The sequence below is a fragment of the Homo sapiens genome, chromosome 20 (genome assembly GCF_000001405.40).
Source record: "Homo sapiens chromosome 20, GRCh38.p14 Primary Assembly".
In the NCBI taxonomy this organism is placed as follows: domain Eukaryota; kingdom Metazoa; phylum Chordata; class Mammalia; order Primates; family Hominidae; genus Homo; species Homo sapiens.
Window position 1 is genome coordinate 39,061,307 of NC_000020.11, and position 16,170 is coordinate 39,077,476.

Genomic DNA, 16,170 nt, shown 5'->3' on the forward strand with positions numbered 1-16,170 from the left:
TCCCTCAAGAGGTAACTGCTCTTCATTTATAGTAACAATCATTGCTTTTAAAAACTCATTTTATTACCCCTGTAATCCCAGCACTTTGGGAGGCCGAGGTGGGCGGATCATGAGGTCAGGAAATCGAGACCATCCTTACTAACACGGTGAAACCCCGTCTCCACTAAAAAATACAAAAATTAGCCTGGCGTGGTGGCAGGCGCCTATAGTCCCAGCTACTCGGGAGGCTGAGGCAGGAGAATGGCGTGAACCCGGGAGGCAGAGCTTGCAGTGAGCTGAGATCGCGCCACTGCATGTCAGCCTGGGCGACAGAACGAGACTCCATCTCAAAAAAAAAAAAAAAAAAATTCATTTCATTTTGAATAAATTTAGATTGATAGAAGAGTTGCAAAAATAAACCAGAGAATTCCTGTATGCCCTTTGTATACTCACATACCCTTCACTCGCCTTCCCCTAATGGAAACATCTTACATAACCACAGCATGTTTATCAAAACTGAGATTGACACTGGTCCAACACTATTTACCGAACTACGAACTTCATGGATGTCGCCAGTTTCCCATGAATGTTCTCTTTCTGTTCCGGGATCCACTCCAGGATCCCATATTGGATTTAGTTATCATTTCTCCTTAGTTTCTTCCATCCATGACTGTTTCTTGGTCTCTTCTTGTGTTTTCATGACTTTGGCACTTATAAAGAGTGCTTGTCAGAAATTTAAGTAGAAAAGTAAGAAAAGCCAGGTAGAATCCTTGCTTTTCTTTGTAATTTTCCTCTCCTAAGTATATATCCCTGAACAACATAGTTAGGTTTGGCCTGTTTTGAATTTTATCTAAGTGAACTAATACACGCATATTCTTTTGTGTCTTACCTTTTTCATTTAACATTATGTTTTTGGGGGAACCATTCATGTTTTTGTGTGCAGCTGAAGTTCATTTTTCTTGCTGAATATTATTCCGTTGTATGGCTGTAATAATAATAATGCAATGGCTATAATTCTGGATTGTTTCTAGGTTTTGGCTATTGCAAACAATGCTGGCTGAAGCATTGTTTCTTTTTATTTTACTTTAAGTTCTAGGATACATGTGCTGAACGTGCAGGTTTGTTACATAGGTATACATGTGCCATGGTGGTTTGCTGCACCTGTCAAACTGTCATCTAGGTTTTAAGCCCCGCATGCATTAGGTATTTGTCCTAAGCATTCTTTTTTTTGAGACAGGGTCTCACTCTTGTCACCCAGGCTGGAGTGCAGTGGCCCCATCTTGGCTCACTGTAATCCCTGCCTCCCAGATTCAAGTGATTCTCCTAGTTCAGCCTCATGAGTAGCTGAGACTACAGGTGGGTGTCAACATGCCTGGCTAATTTTTTTGTTTTGTTTTGTTTTGTTTTCAGTAGAGATGGGGTTTCACCTTGTTGGCCAGGCTGGTCTCAAACTCCTGACCTCAGGGGATCCGCCTGCCTTGGCCTCCCAAAGTGCTGAGATTATAGGCATGTGCCACCACGCTCGGCAGATGGCCGAAGCATTCTTATTACATATCTCCTGAAATAGTTGGGCCCACATTTCTCTAGGAGAGGAAACCAGGAGATAAATATCCAGGAGAGGAAACTTTGGCTGAAGAATTTCCATGTCTTCAGCTGGACTAGATACTGCCAGACTTTCTTCCAAAGTGGTTTTACCAATTTAAACAGCCCCACCTGCAGCGTCAAGTTCTCAGTGTGCCCTATCATTATTTTTTCCCCTAGTCCTTAGTAACAGACATCATTATTTTTTGAAATCAAAATAAATCAGTCAAGATTCTGGCAGGAAAGAGATGTACACAAAATGCTTATAACAATGCTAGGGTTCTATTTAAGAGCATTTAATAAAGAGATTATTTATACAAGAGTGGCCAGGATGAAAGGAACCAATAAGAAATGCTGAGACACCCAGGCACTAGGGCAGCAGGAAGCTGTTGCTGCCTCTGGGGCTGAAGGGACAGGAGGGAGAAGAGGGGAAAGCGGAGGTCCCTGCCTGGGCTGTAAGCACACATCAGTGTTTCTCAACCCGTCCTTCCTTCCTTTCTTTCTTTCCTTTCTTTCTTTCTTTCTCTCTTTCTTTCTCTTTCTTTCTTTCTTTCTTTCTTTCTTTCTTTCTTTCTTTCTTTCTTTCTTTCCTTCCTTCCTTCCTTCCCTCTTTCTTTCTTTCTCTCTTTTCTTTCTCTCTCTCTCTCCTTTCTTTCTTTCTTTTCTTTCTTTCTTTCTTTCTTTCTTTCTTTCTTTCTTTCTTTCTTTCTTTCTTTCTTTCTTTCTCTTTCTCTCTTCTTTCTTTTTTGAGACGGAGTCTCACTCTGCAGTAAAGTGGCACGATCTTGGCTCACTGCAGCCTCTGCTTCCCAGGTTCAAGCGATTCTTGTGCCTCAGCTCCAGAGTAGCTGGGATTACAGGCACCTGCCACCACATCTGGCTAATTTTTGTATTTTTAGTACAGATGGGGTTTCACCATGTTGGCTAGGCTGGTCTTGAACTCCTAACCTCTAGTGATCCACCCACCTCAGCCTTCCAAAGTGCTGGGATTACAGGTGTGAGCCACCATGCCCGGCCTCAACCTGTTTTTCATCATGACACCCTGTTGCATGTTGAATTGTGTCACCATCCAACATATGTTCAAGTCCAATATCTGTGAATGGGACCTTATTTGGAAATAGGGTCTTTGCAGATGTAATCAAGTTAAGATGAGATCTGTCTTAGCTCAGGCTGCTAGAGCAAAGTATCATAGACTGGTCTCGAACTCCTGACCTCAAGTGATCCTCCCGCCTCAGCTTCCCAAAGTGCTAGGATTACAGGCATGAGCCACCATGCCTGGCCCTGTGCTGTGGCTCTTTGGAGGGTCACAAATTATTGCAATATATAAGGTTATGTCTCCCCAGGAACCAGTGGTCACCCTCTTGGGGGCGTGATTGCTCTTGTTGAGGCTGCAGGAGCCAGAGGGAAGAGCCAAACTGAGGGGAGGCAGAGAAGGGACCAGAGAACAGACCCCCTTCCCTGTCTTTCCACCCACTCCTGGGTGGCCTCCTGCTGGCTGGACTTAGCCAAGAGCCAAGGCTGAGGGGGTTCAGGGGTGCTGCCTTCTGAGATCAGCCCCGGGGAGCAGGGCAGGGCTAAGAGGGGCAGAGAATGGGTGCAGGTTGGGGCGCCCATGAAGAACAACTCAGTTCACAGCCCCAGCTGCTCCCAGCGTCTGCCAGTCCTTCTGGGGGCTGTCCTTCCTCTGCTAGAAAAGTAGGAGACCCCCCCAAGGCCAACATGGCCCAGAAAAATGGGAGGAGAGGCTGATTTTCCATCCAGATGGCCTCTCCAGGTGATCCTGAACCACATGACCTATCTGAAGCTGGGCAGCTGCACTTCCTCTGTGCCCAGCCAGGACGAGGGGCTCTTCACGAGGCTCTGATGTTGTGGCAGTCAATACAGGCCTCCCCCAGCACCCCATAGCCCTCCTGGGTGCCATGGAGGAGTGCAGTTCAGCATCCCTGGCTTGCAGCTCCCCCACCTCCCCACCTGGCCTCCCCACCCCCTCCTCTTTAACAAGGCTTGGAACCCTTCCCCTCCCAGACTCTTCAGGTCTATTTCCTCAGGGAATCGAGGTTTCTATAAAGAAAAGCATAAAACGAGATGAACATCAGCATCTTAGGGATGATCACAGACAGCAGAGTATGGGAGATTAGTTTGGGTTCTGGGCCAGGTTGCCTGGGTTTGGATCCTGGATTTGCTACTCACTGGCTATGGAACCCTGGGTAGGTTACCTAACCTCTCTGTGCCTCAGCTCTCTCTCTGAAAAGTGGGGATATGACAATATCTGTCTTACAGAGTTATTCTGAGCATTAAATGAGCTAATGGATAGAAAGTGCTTAGAACAGTGCCAGGCATATAGTAAGTGCTATGTAAGAGTTAGATCTATTATTACTTTGCTAGGTGTGTCTCTATTTTGAATGTGCCATAGAAAGTTCTAGAGTTGGCTGGCCAGGCATGGTGGCTGATGCCTGTAATCCCAGCACTTTGGGAGGCCGAGGCAGGTGGATCACCTGAAGTCAGGAGTTCGAGACCAGCCTGGCCAACATGGTAAAACACTATCTCTACTAAAAATAGAAAAAATTAGCCGGGCGTGGTCGTGTGTGCCTATAGTTCCAGCCACTCGGGAGGCTGAGGCAGGAGAATCACTTGGACTTGGGAGGTGGAGGTTGCAGTGAGCCAAGATCATGCCATTGCACTCCAGCCTGGAGTGCCAAGAGCGGAACTCCGTATCGGGGGGGGAAAAAAAAAGAAAGTTCTAGAGATGGCTAATGGTGCCACCTCACGGGAGTAGAGCTGGGCCTACAGGAGAAAAACTTTCACTTTTTAAAAATACTTACTTTATGTTATTGAAAAAAAATTTTTTTGAGACAGGGCCTTGCTCTGTGGGAGTGCAGTCTCAGACTGGAGTGCAGTGGGGGAATCATAGCTCACTGCAACTTCAAACGCCTAGGCTCAAGCAGTCCTCCTGCCTCAGCCTCCCACATAGCTGGGCCTATAGATATGAACCACCTATAGACATGAGCCACCCCACCACACCCAGCTAATTTTTATTGATTTATTTTTGGTAGAGACAGGGTCTTGCTATGTTTCCCAGGCTGGCCTTGAACTCTTGGTCTCAAGTGATCCTCCCACCTTGGCCTCCCAAAGCTCTGGGATTACAGTCATGAGCCATAGTGTCTGGCCTTATTTAAAATTTTTAAAACAAGCAATTGTAATAGTATTTAGGAATAACATATTTGCTCTAGAAATTTTAACTTTTTTTTTTTTTGAGATGGAGTCTCGCTCTGTTTCTCAGGCTGGAGTGCAGTGGCGAGATTTCCGCTTACTGCAACCTCTGCCTCCTGGGTTCAAGCGATTCTCCTGCCTCAGCCTCCCAAGTAGCTGGGATTACAGGCACCTGCCACCACACCTGGCTGATTTTTGTATTTTTAGTAGAGACGGGGTTTCACCATGTTGGTCAGGCTGGTCTTGAACTCCTGACCTCAGGTGATCTGCCTATCTCGGCCTCCCAAAGTGCTGGGATTACAGGCGTGAGCCACCGCACCCAGCCTCAGAAATTTTAACTTTTTAAGGTAAAATATAAGTTTTTGCAAAAATATGATAAGCTTTGCACCATTTAGTGTGGAATATAAGACATGACAGATTGTCGTCAGTCTCCCTTTCACTGCATGTGAGCTTCCAGAGAAAAATTTATGGGTGTTCCTGGGATTGGGGTTGGACTTGCCTAATTGCCTAGATTGGGAGTTCGGTAAACTTCTCCTGCTGGACGTGGAGGAGGGGCTGAGCCTTGGGCTGCATTCTCTGCACCCACCTCTAGTAGGCCTCCCAGGACCACCCACCGCCCAGCACCTGCCCTGGTTGCCAGGGAAACAGCCCTTTATCGAGTGGAGCCATCCCCAACTCAGCCCAGTGATTTGTCCTTGTCTAATTATTATTACTCTTTGCATTTTCCTTTTGGATGAGTGATGGGGGAGGGTCGGGGGGGGTGGGAGGGTGCAGGAGCAGAGGAGCAGTGATTTGTGGGGCTGGCAGCTTATCTTTGAGAGGAGGACATTTATCTTTCTGGAAGCAGAAAACCGCCCAATGGAGACAAATTCAGCAGTTCCCGAGTGGTTCTGTTTGTGGATTCACACACTGATCTGGAGTTACCGACCTGGAATTGCATGTGCACGTGGGTTTGGGGTGTGGGAATGTGCGCACGTAGCAAGCAGACCTCTCAGAGTGGCTCTGTCCAGAGCCACAGTCCTGTGAGCGTGTCTGTGGTTATTGTGTGCTCACTGTGTACAGCTCCTAAAATGGTATGTGCACACGTCTGCATGTGTCTGAATGTGTGTGCACACTTTGACTAGACTAGGCAACCTAGGTGTGCCTGCTTGCATGCACTCATGTGATAACATGTGGCTGTGTGTGCACATTGTAGACAAAGCAAGGAAAAGCTGGGTGGGTACAGATTGAATATGTAGCTATCAAATGTGTTTGTCTTCATGGGGCTCTGTGTGTAGGGCCTGAGCACATGTGTAGCCAACTTCTGAGCAGGCCTGCATGTGAACATTGTACACATTGTTATGAGAACCAAAAAATAGACCGTAAAATCAGGGTGCTGACCTAAGCCAGAGACACCTGAGATGAAGGCATAGGGTTTGGATAGTATGGAAGATATGCACACTGCACATTTTAGTAGCTGGGGTAGATTGCAAAAACATCCCCACTCATTTGTCCCTGCCCGAATCCTTGCCCTTTCAATGTGACTTTGCAGTTCCTCCTAATAGAAGATAAAGTCTATTCCCCTACCGTCTTGACCTGGACTGGACTTGAAACTTGCTTTGGGCAATAGAATGAAGTGGAAGGGACAATGAGTCAGTTCTGAGCCTAGGCCTCAAGACAGCTGGCAGCTTCCACTAGCTCTCTTAGAACTGTGCCCAGCTGCACATGAACAAGGCTCAGCTAGGCTGCTGGAGGATGAGGGACCATTAGAGACTAGGGGGAGAACAGCCCCAGTTATCCTGGCTGCAGCCATCCTACACCATCTTAGAGCCAACTGACTTGCAAATACATGAGAGAGTCCGGCCAAGACCAGCAGAGCTGCCCTTCCTAACCTTTAGTTGACCACAGACACATACGTGAGCCCTGCTGACTCACAGACATGTGAGCAATTACAGTTGTTTTTAAGTCTCGTGAGTATTGGGGTGATTTGTTATGCAGCATTATTGTTGCAGTGCATAACTCATTACTAACTAAATACTCAGCATACACACAGATGATGTACACACACAGCAAAAGCATATACCATTGACATACACATAGGATTGTTGGCTCTGTGTACTAAAAGTATTAGTTAGTTATCTGTTGCTGTTACAAATTACTCCAAAATTTAGGAGCTTAACACACAAACATTTATTACCTCATAGTTTCTGTGTCTCAGGAATCAGGGCATGGCTTAGCTGAATGTCTTTGGCTCAAGGTCTTTCATGAGGTTACTGTCTTATTATTGGGGCTGCAGTCTCATCTGAAGACTCAACTGAGGGAGTATCCACTTCCATTTTCACTCACAGGTTGTTGTCAGGATTCTGTTCCTTGATGGTGATTGGTTGGGGCAGGGTCTCCCTCAATTCCTTGCCATGTGGGGTTTTCCACATGGCAAGCTTACAACATTGCAGAGTGAGACAGAGAGAGAGAGAGACAGAGAGAGAGAGAGAGAGACAGAGAGAAGCAATGGTTTTTTTGTAACCTTATTGCAGAAGTGACATCCCATCATTTTTGCCATATTTGTTAGAAAAAGTCACGACATCCAGCCCACACTCAAGGAAAAAGGAGAGGGGATTACATGAAGTGTGAAAGGAGTGGGGGGATCACTGGGGACTGTCTCAGAGGCTGCCTACCACACAGGGTGTACAAATAAATAGGCTCACATTCAGCTGGACTAGCTGTACAAGATCAGCCTTTTTTTCATGGCTTTTGCTCAGCCAAAGACACTGAGTGTCAGAGAAAGTGGGTTTTGCAGGTTCTAAAGACCCAGGTATTCTATTCTCTTGGTCCTGTCATTGGAGCTAAGGCTATTTTGCCTAGAAAGGAAGCTCTCTCTGCTGTGGGATGGGGGAGGAACACTTCACTCCAGACCTTCCAACCAGGATTCCAGACATTCACATCCTGAAGCTTGAGGAGGGACAGGAATCCTCAGGTTCTCAGAGAGGAGGAGCCTTTACTTAGGGTGTGGCTGGAGGTGGAGATGCTTGAGACCCTCTAGAGGGGCAGATGCTGAGAGCTTTCTCCTTTTTGGGCATCTGACCTGGAGTAATGTGGTCTCCCTGTGGGATCTGATTTTCCTTCCAAGCCCTTTCTCCTCTGTGGTCTCAGGGCTGGGCTGTCTATGAACATCGCAGACCCAGCCTACACTTCCCCGAGATGGGCAAGCCCAACCTCTTCCTCCTTAGAGCTCACCTGCCCTTTCCACTCCCTTCCCAACCTGCAATTTCAGGTCCCTTTGTCCCCTCCCCACACCCAGAGCTGGATATTGATGACCTGGGACCCTGTACACTGCAGCAGCACTGGGCAATGCGCAGCTGTGTGTGTGTGTGCACATGTGTGCGTGTGTGTGAGGGTGGTGGGACTGAGGTGGGGGGGGTGGATTTCAGTCCCCATATGAAGCCTGCTGCAGATCAAAATAGGCAGATGAAGTCAGGAGTGGTGGCTCACGCCTGTAATCCCAGCACTTATGGAGGCACAGGTGGGAAGATCGCTTGAGCCCAGTAGTTCGAGACCTGCCTGTGCAACACAGCAAGATCCCGTTTTTGTTAAAAAAAAAAAAAAAAGAAGGGTAGATGTCCTGCCCTGTGAACCAGCCTCATGTTGAAACCTTCTGTTAGGAGAGTGGAGGGCAATGTGTCCTCCCAGAGTCTATGTGGGGCTCCAGCCCAAAGCTGGGACCCACTGCCCTGCAGGTATTCACCCCTCTCCCTGCTTAGAGCTGCTTACTGCACTGCCCAGGGGGCCAGACTGTCCACCCCCAGGACAAACTTGGGCTAAGGGTGAAGTCACGTTTCCCAGCTCAGAGCTCTTGAACTGGAGAGTTTTTGAGCCCCTTGTGTAGGGTCCCAGTCCCTCTGCTTTGAACAAACGTGTGCGTGAGGGTCTTGACATGGTCCAGGGAGGGATGATGGAGTTTGGACTCGGGGGGAGGCGGTGGGGATGGAGAGAAGTGTGGGTGGGTTTAAGAGACATTTAAGCAGTCGGGCTGACAAGCTCAGAGGATGTAGATATGGCGGCTGGGTGAGGAGATGGTGCAGGAGGGAGGGGGAGGAGGAAGAATGACACACAGCATGTTTTCTGTAAAGTTCACTGGGGATAATGAGTGCCTCTGGCATTTGAGTAACAAATACAGCAGCTTTAGTCTCCTGTCCGGGATTGGCTCTGAGGCACTAATGATACCTAATGATATCTGCATGCAGAACTTCCAGAAGGGCAGGTAGAAACTTAGCTACAAGAGGTCGCTTTCTGGGAAAAGAGGCAGAGTGTATTCCCTGAAGGCTGTGTTTCCGTAGGAAGTTGGAAGTTGGGCATCCTGAGACTCTGCAAGGACAGTCCATGTCCACCCCTCCCCTCCAAGCCCCTACCCACTCAAGGTCATCCCTCAGGACTGGTTCCTCCGTGCCTTTTCTCCTTACCCCTACCCTTTGCTTCAATCCAGCCCTGTTTCTGTTTTTGTTCTCTGAGCTCTGGACTCTGTATTTGTCAGGACTTTATTGACTTGTGTAATGAGACACTTAGAGATACATCCGCTTTCAGGAAGCGCTGGATCCAGGAGATTGGCCAGTGGTGTCAGGTGTCAGCTGTGCTTTGTCTTTCAATGCTCCTTTCCTTTTCATGTTCTTTGAAAAGTTTTTTATGAAAAAATTTTTTTTTGACACGAGGTCTCACCCTGTCACCCATGCTGGAGTGCAGTCATGCGATCATAGCTCACTGAGGCCTCCAACTCCTGGGTTTAAGGGATCCTCTCACCTCAGCCTACCAAGTCTCTGGGATTACAGACTGAGCCACTGCTCCTGGCTCTGTGTTCTTGAGTCTCAGTCTACACAGCTGCAGCAACCCTAGATTTTCACTTTCATGCTGAACAACCTCAGAGCAAAGAAGACCTTTATTTTCAGGACAGTTCCAGCAAAAGCCTCAGGACTGACTCACTGGTATGAACCAGTCACTGGCCCAGCAGGACGTGGCAATTTGCCTGGCTGGGCATGTATGGGTGCTCACTCTGAGGGTTGGCCCAGCCCAGCTCAAACCACACAGCCTGAACGTGGGAGAGGGGTGGTCCTCAGAATGAAATTGGGGTACTAAAAGCAGAGCAAAGAGGAATGGAGGCCAGGCAGAGAGGACCCATGGAGACTGACCTCAGACCCTACCTTGTCTCTGTCTCCTTCCTGGCATCTTTGACTTCCAGTATTGGGAACTCACTCACTCATCCAACCCCAGGTTTGGCTCTGACACTGCTTTGGTCACCTGGGGTAGGAAATTTTGCTCTGGACTCACCAAACCTTGTTCTTTTCCTAACCACTGAAGAGGAAGCAGTGTATAAGGGTCCTCCAGAGAAGCAGGACCAATAGGATGTACATGTACACGTGGAAACAGATTGATTCTAGGGGCATGACTCCTGCGATGATGGAGGCTGACAAGTCCCAAGGTCTGCAGGGTGAGTTGGCAAGCTGGAGATCCCAGAGAGCTGGTACTGGAGCTCCTGCCTGAATGCTGGGAGAGACCCAGGAAGAGCTGATGTTTCCATTCTAGGAAGAGCGCAGGAAAATAGGTCAATGTCCCAGTTGGAAAGAGGTTAGGTAGGAGGAAAGATTCACTTTTACAGCAGGGAGGGTCAGCCTTTTTTCTTCTATTCAGCCCTTCTACTGACTAGTGAGGCCCACCCATATTATATGTGGTGGGGGACAGTCTACTTTACTCTGTCCATTTAAATGTTAATCTCATCCCCAAACACCCTCACAGACACACCCAGAATAATGTTTGAACAAATATCTGGGCACTCCATGGCCCACTCAAGTTGGCACATAAAATTAACCATCGCAAGCACCAAGTAGGTCATCTCTGACCCTCTCTAAGGCCGGGTCAGAGAGCTGGTCAGAGGACTGGGCTGAGTTGGAACTCTGACAGGGCATCCTCTCTGTGCCCCGAATGACCTTTTTGCCTACCTTGGAGCAGGTTGTGTATTTCATCTGCCTGTACCTCATTCCAAAATATTATCTTCCTTGGTTACCATCAGGGCGGGGGACCCAGGCGAGGTCTGTTGCCAAGTTCCCTCCATAGGCTCCAACTCTGTCAGGACGGGGTCCACTCTATTATCTCCACACTGTCCTGTGCCCCGGGAAGCCTGACTCCTGGGGGCCGGGGCTTCTGGGCTCCAGGCGGGGTGGGTCCTAGGAGCCCCCTTGGGATCGGAGAAATGGGGGAGAGCTGCCAGGGGTCGGTTCCCCTGCTCCTGCCACAGGTGTGTCCCTCTTCCCTGGAGGCGGCCCTCCCTGCGGCTCCCCCGGCACAGGCTCAATGACACTGCCCTTCTTCCTCTCACCCTCAGGTACAGGGACATGGCTGCTCCTGCTGGTCCTGGTTCCAGGGGGCTCCCCTCCCCTGTTGGGGCTCTCGACCGTGCCCACACCTCTGACAGTCCCCTCATTTTATCTCTGCAGAATCCCAGCAGGCTGTGTTGAGAGTAGTGTTCCTGTGGGAGCTACCCAGGGGGAGCGGGGGCCAGCTCGGCCCTGAGAGGCTGTGTTGGGGGGACCGTCCTACCCTGTGGGCACTACCAAGTCTATCTAAGGCTTTGTGTCCAGAGAAGGCTCAGAGCAGTCAACAGGGTTATCCTAAGCGAATCCTACCCTCCATCATTGGTATGATGAATTTGGGCAGTTAACTGAGCCTGGGTCACTTTCTTTTATCGCCTCTCATTCATTGTGTGACCCATAGAAAGTCAAGTCAGGTGAGCTTTCTAAGCCTCAATTGCCTCATCTGTAAAATGGGTATACTAAGACCTCCCCCAAGGCCACTCTCCATAGCTTATTTCATCCTGCACAGTGGACTTTGTCTTTGGGGAGAATTAAGTTTGGCCCCAATTTCATTCATTCATTTGTTCATACATTCAGGGACTGCCCCCTGGACTTCACAGCATGCTAGAGGCTGGGTTGGACCCCTACCCTTCAGGTCAGAAGCAACTTCTCTCCCTTCTCTCCCTTTCTCCTTCATAAAGATTTTTTTTTTAAAAAGTTGACTTTATCGAGGTATAATTTACATAAAATTTGTATATTTCAGGTTTATAGATCAACCATCTTTGACAAATGTATACACCTGTGTAATCTGCACCCCGACCAAGACATAGACCATTTCCATGAGTCTGGAAAGTTCCCTGGAGTTTTGTTGCAGTCACCTGCCACCCACCCCCCTCACCATCAAGCCACGTCTGATCCAGTTTCCATCACTATCTCTCAGTTGAAATTTTCATTTGCTTTCATTTTGCCTGTTGTACCCTTTCCCTTTCCCTTCCCTTTCTTTTTTTCTTTTTTTTTGAGATGGGGTATTGCTCTGTTGCCCAGGCTGGAGTGAAGTGGTGTGATCACAGCTCACTGCAGCCTTGACCTCCCAGACTCAAGCAACCCTCCCACGTCAGCCTCCAGAGTAACAGGGACTACAGGTGTGCACCACTACTGGCTAATTTCTAAATTTTTTATAAAGATGAGGTCTTGCTATGTTGCCCAGGCCTGGGCTCAAGTGAGCCTCCCACCTCAGTCTCCCAAGGTGCTGGGATTATAGATATGAGCCACCACACCCAGCCGTGTTTTACACAAGGAGAGCACATGTCTCCTTGGTAAAACAATATTCATTTTCCTATAACCTATCTTTTTCAACCATTGCCAGTAATGGCCAGATAAAATACATGAACACAAACACAGACGCGTGCACATACGTGTACCTATGTACACACACAATCCTCTCACATATGCACATTCACACTTACACACATACATGCATTACACAAACTTACATATATGCATACAAATATAGGTTAAGGAAACTTTTTCAAGGCTCAAAAAGATCTAGGCCATGGTGAGACAGAACACAGTTGTGTTTTTACTGAAACCCCTCGTGATAGTGCACACATGAACACACATGCACACAAGCCCCAAAGCTGAGAATCATTTGCCATCACTTCCTGCTCCCCTGTCAGAGTCAGCGCAAGAGGAGAAAAATCGGAATTCTTTCCCTGTCTCAAAAGTAAAAGGGACAAATTAGTTTCTTGTCAGTGCACTGCAATAAATACATTGTCATTTTTATCCCCCAGTGAATCATAGTCTCCATTTCTCCCGTAACTATTATACAGTCTGCTGGCACTATATCATTTTTTGGTAATTTTATTTTCACCAATTGTTTTATGAAATTTTTGAGTTTTATGGACACTAAAACAAATCTAGCCTGCGAGTGTTATAGCCCTTTAAATCATCGGCAGGAAATCTCAAGGTTCCTCCAGACTGTGGTGGAAGGAGGCTTTAGGGAAGAAAGATCGCCCCTAGCTTATAAACTGAGCAAAAACCCAGAGATAAGTTTGTAAAAGGGACATAGATCATGGCGGGTGAAAACTGGGGTGTAAAACATCTCCCTGCTCAGCTCCTATAAGAATAAAAATGGACTTTTATTTAGCAGAAACACTAAAGTAGTTGGGGAGAAGGAACACATGGTCCTAATCTCCTCTTTCTTAGCCACAAGAGCCTGTATTTCCCTGTGGGTCAGTGTGAGCCTAACTCCAGCAGCTCATAGCCAGGAGGGTAACCAGGTTAGGGACCATCTCAGGGAAGCCAAGAATCCCCGTGATGTTGGCACAAAACACAACCCTCTATATGAATGTCAAGGTCATATCTCTGATGTCAGTGGAAAAAGGGATAAAACTGACTCTAAAGCACATGGGAAAAGAAAAACCAACAATCCAATCCAACAAGAGGAGAAGAGCTAAATTGATGTGAAAGAAGGTTTGCCTTACCAGGTATTAAAATGCATTATAAAGCTACAATAATAAAAGCAGCATGTTACTGGCATACGACTAGACAGACAAATCAATGGAATGAAATAGTCCTAAATAAAACTCAGTCCATGAAAAATGAAAGATCACATATCAATAGAAGAGGGATGGATTATTCAGTAAGTGCTATCTGTAAATGTGGTAATTTGGAAAACAGTCAATTTAGATATTTATCTCATTCAAGAGTCCAAAAAATAAAAACTAGACAGATGAAACATTTGAAACTAAAAAATTAAACAATAAAATGCTGGAAGAAAGTATTAAAAAAGTATTTGATTTCCAGATGAGGAGGCTTTTATCCATGACTTTGGGTAGAACCGCTAAGAAAAAAGACCAACAGATTTAGCTTGCAATATGTTTACATGCCTGCATTTCAAGACATATCCCCCACCTAGAGGCCAAAAGAGGCTGGGCATGGTGGCTCATGCCTGTAATCTCGGCACTTTGGGAGGCCAAGGCAGGAGGATTGCTTGAGCCCAGGAGTCTAATATCAGCCTGGGCAATGTGGCAAGACTCTGTCTCTACAAAAAATAATAAGAAAAAATTAGCCGGACATGGTGGCATAAGCTTGTGATTCTAGCTGGGAGGGTAAGGTAGGAGGATCGCTTGAACCTAGGAGATTGAGGCTGCAGTGGGCCGTGTTTGCACCACTGCACTCCATCCTGGGCAACAGAGCGAGACCCTGTCACAAAAAAAAAAAAAAAAAAATGCTGAAAGATAAGCTGACCAAATCTTTTTGACATACATGACAGCAAAAGGGAAATCTCTTGATAAAGAAAATCACTAGGACTTAATGGAATGGGCAGAGGATACAACCCTACAATTCATTGAAGAAAAAACAAATATCTCCTAAGCGTAGGAAAACATTTCCCACCATACTAGCTGTGATGGTTCATTTTATATGTCAGCTTGTGCCCAGACATGTGGCCAAACATTATTCTGGGTGTGTCTACTTCTGGATGAGATTGACATTTGAATTTGGGTAGACCAAGTAAAGCAGATTCCCCTTCCTCATGAAGGTGGGTCTCATCCAATCAGTTGAAGGCTTGAATAGAACAAAAAGGCTGGCCCTCCTGCGAATAGAGGAGCTCCTCCTGCCTGACTATCTTCAAGCTGGGACATCAGGTTTTTTTTCCCCTGGGTTTGGACTCAAATGGAAACATTGGCTCTTCCTGGGTCTCAAGCCTGCTGGCATTTGGACTAGAACAACACCATTGGCTCTCCTGAGTATCTAGCTTGCCCAACTGCAGATTTTGGAACTTAGCTTCTAAAATCGCACATGCCAGTTCCCTCTACTGAATCTCTTTGCATATCAATATCATCTCTATCTATCCATCTCTCCTCTTGGTGCTGTTTCTTTCGAGAACTGTGACTAATGCGCTGGGCATCAAGGATATACAAATTAAAATCCCACTGATATGCTAGTTTTTCTCATGCCTCTTGATTTTTTGAGAATTCTCTGGGATTCTCCTGATCAGAATCTAGACAAAGCTTATCCAATGTGTGGCCTGTGGGCTGCATGCAGCCCAAGACAGCTTTAAATGTGGCTCAATGAAAATTCATAAACTTTCTTAAAACATTATGAGTTTTTTTGCTATATATATATATATATATATGTTCATCAGCTATTGTTAGTATTAGTGTATTTATGTGTGGCTCAAGACAGTTCTTTTTTTTTGAGATGGAGTCTCACTCTGTCACCCAGGCCGGAATGCAATGGCTCAATCTCAGCTCACTGCAACCTCCGCCTCCCGGGTTCAAGCGATTCTCCTGCCTCAGCCTCCCGAGTAGCTGGGATTACAGGCGCGCACCATCATACCTGGCTAATTTTTGTAGTTTTTTCTTTTTTTAGTAGAGACAGGGTTTCACCATATTGGCCAGGCTGGTCTTGAACTCCTGACCTCGGGTGATCTGCCCGCCTCAGTCTCCCAAAGTGCTGGGATTACAGCCGTGAGCCACTGCTCAGCCTCAAGACTGTTCTTATTCTTCCAATGTGGCCCAGGAAAGCCAAAAGATTGGCTATCCCTGATCTGGACATTCTTAAGTGTCTCCCAACTTAAAAAATGATCTCTCTTTATTCCCACAGCTGTGTCAAATCATTAGCTCCTCTTGTCCCTCTCACAGCCCACTTTCTTTAAACTGCTCTCAAGACCTGCCTCTTCCTCTCTTGCCATCCAGTCGTCAAACCCTTCCACGTGGCTTCCCACCTGTCTCTCCTGCGGAACCTCATGTCTGGGTCCTCATCAGGGTCTGCCTGTCCACCACTCCAGGGGCGCCGTTTGCAGGACTTTGATGGGGGTGATGCCCTGCTGTGCAGTACAGCTGCCCTGCTGCAGATCCCTGGGAGCTTGCAGCCCTTTCCTTATCAGAGCTTTCAGGTACATTTGACCCGAGGCTGGTAGAGGTGAGGTTTATGGGAGGAGAAGAGAAGAGAGCCTTCCACGGAGTTTTTAACCCGCATTTCTGCCCCACTCTTTGGAAGTAAATGAGTACATGCTATTTCCTTGCTATCTCAGGTAGGAAAAACAAGCTCCAAAGAGTCATCCTTTTCATTTTATTTAACT

At 47.1% G+C, this 16,170-nt stretch overlaps 1 annotated feature.

The window, feature by feature from the left end:
• Nucleotides 9,140-9,434: an enhancer, noted in NCBI's record as "tiled region #15217; HepG2 Activating non-DNase unmatched - State 4:PromP, and K562 Activating DNase unmatched - State 22:ReprW". NCBI's record gives its function as "activates a minimal TATA promoter and a strong SV40 promoter by Sharpr-MPRA in HepG2 cells, with weaker activity in K562 cells {active_cell/tissue: HepG2 | K562}" and the evidence as "EXISTENCE:reporter gene assay evidence [ECO:0000049][PMID:27701403]".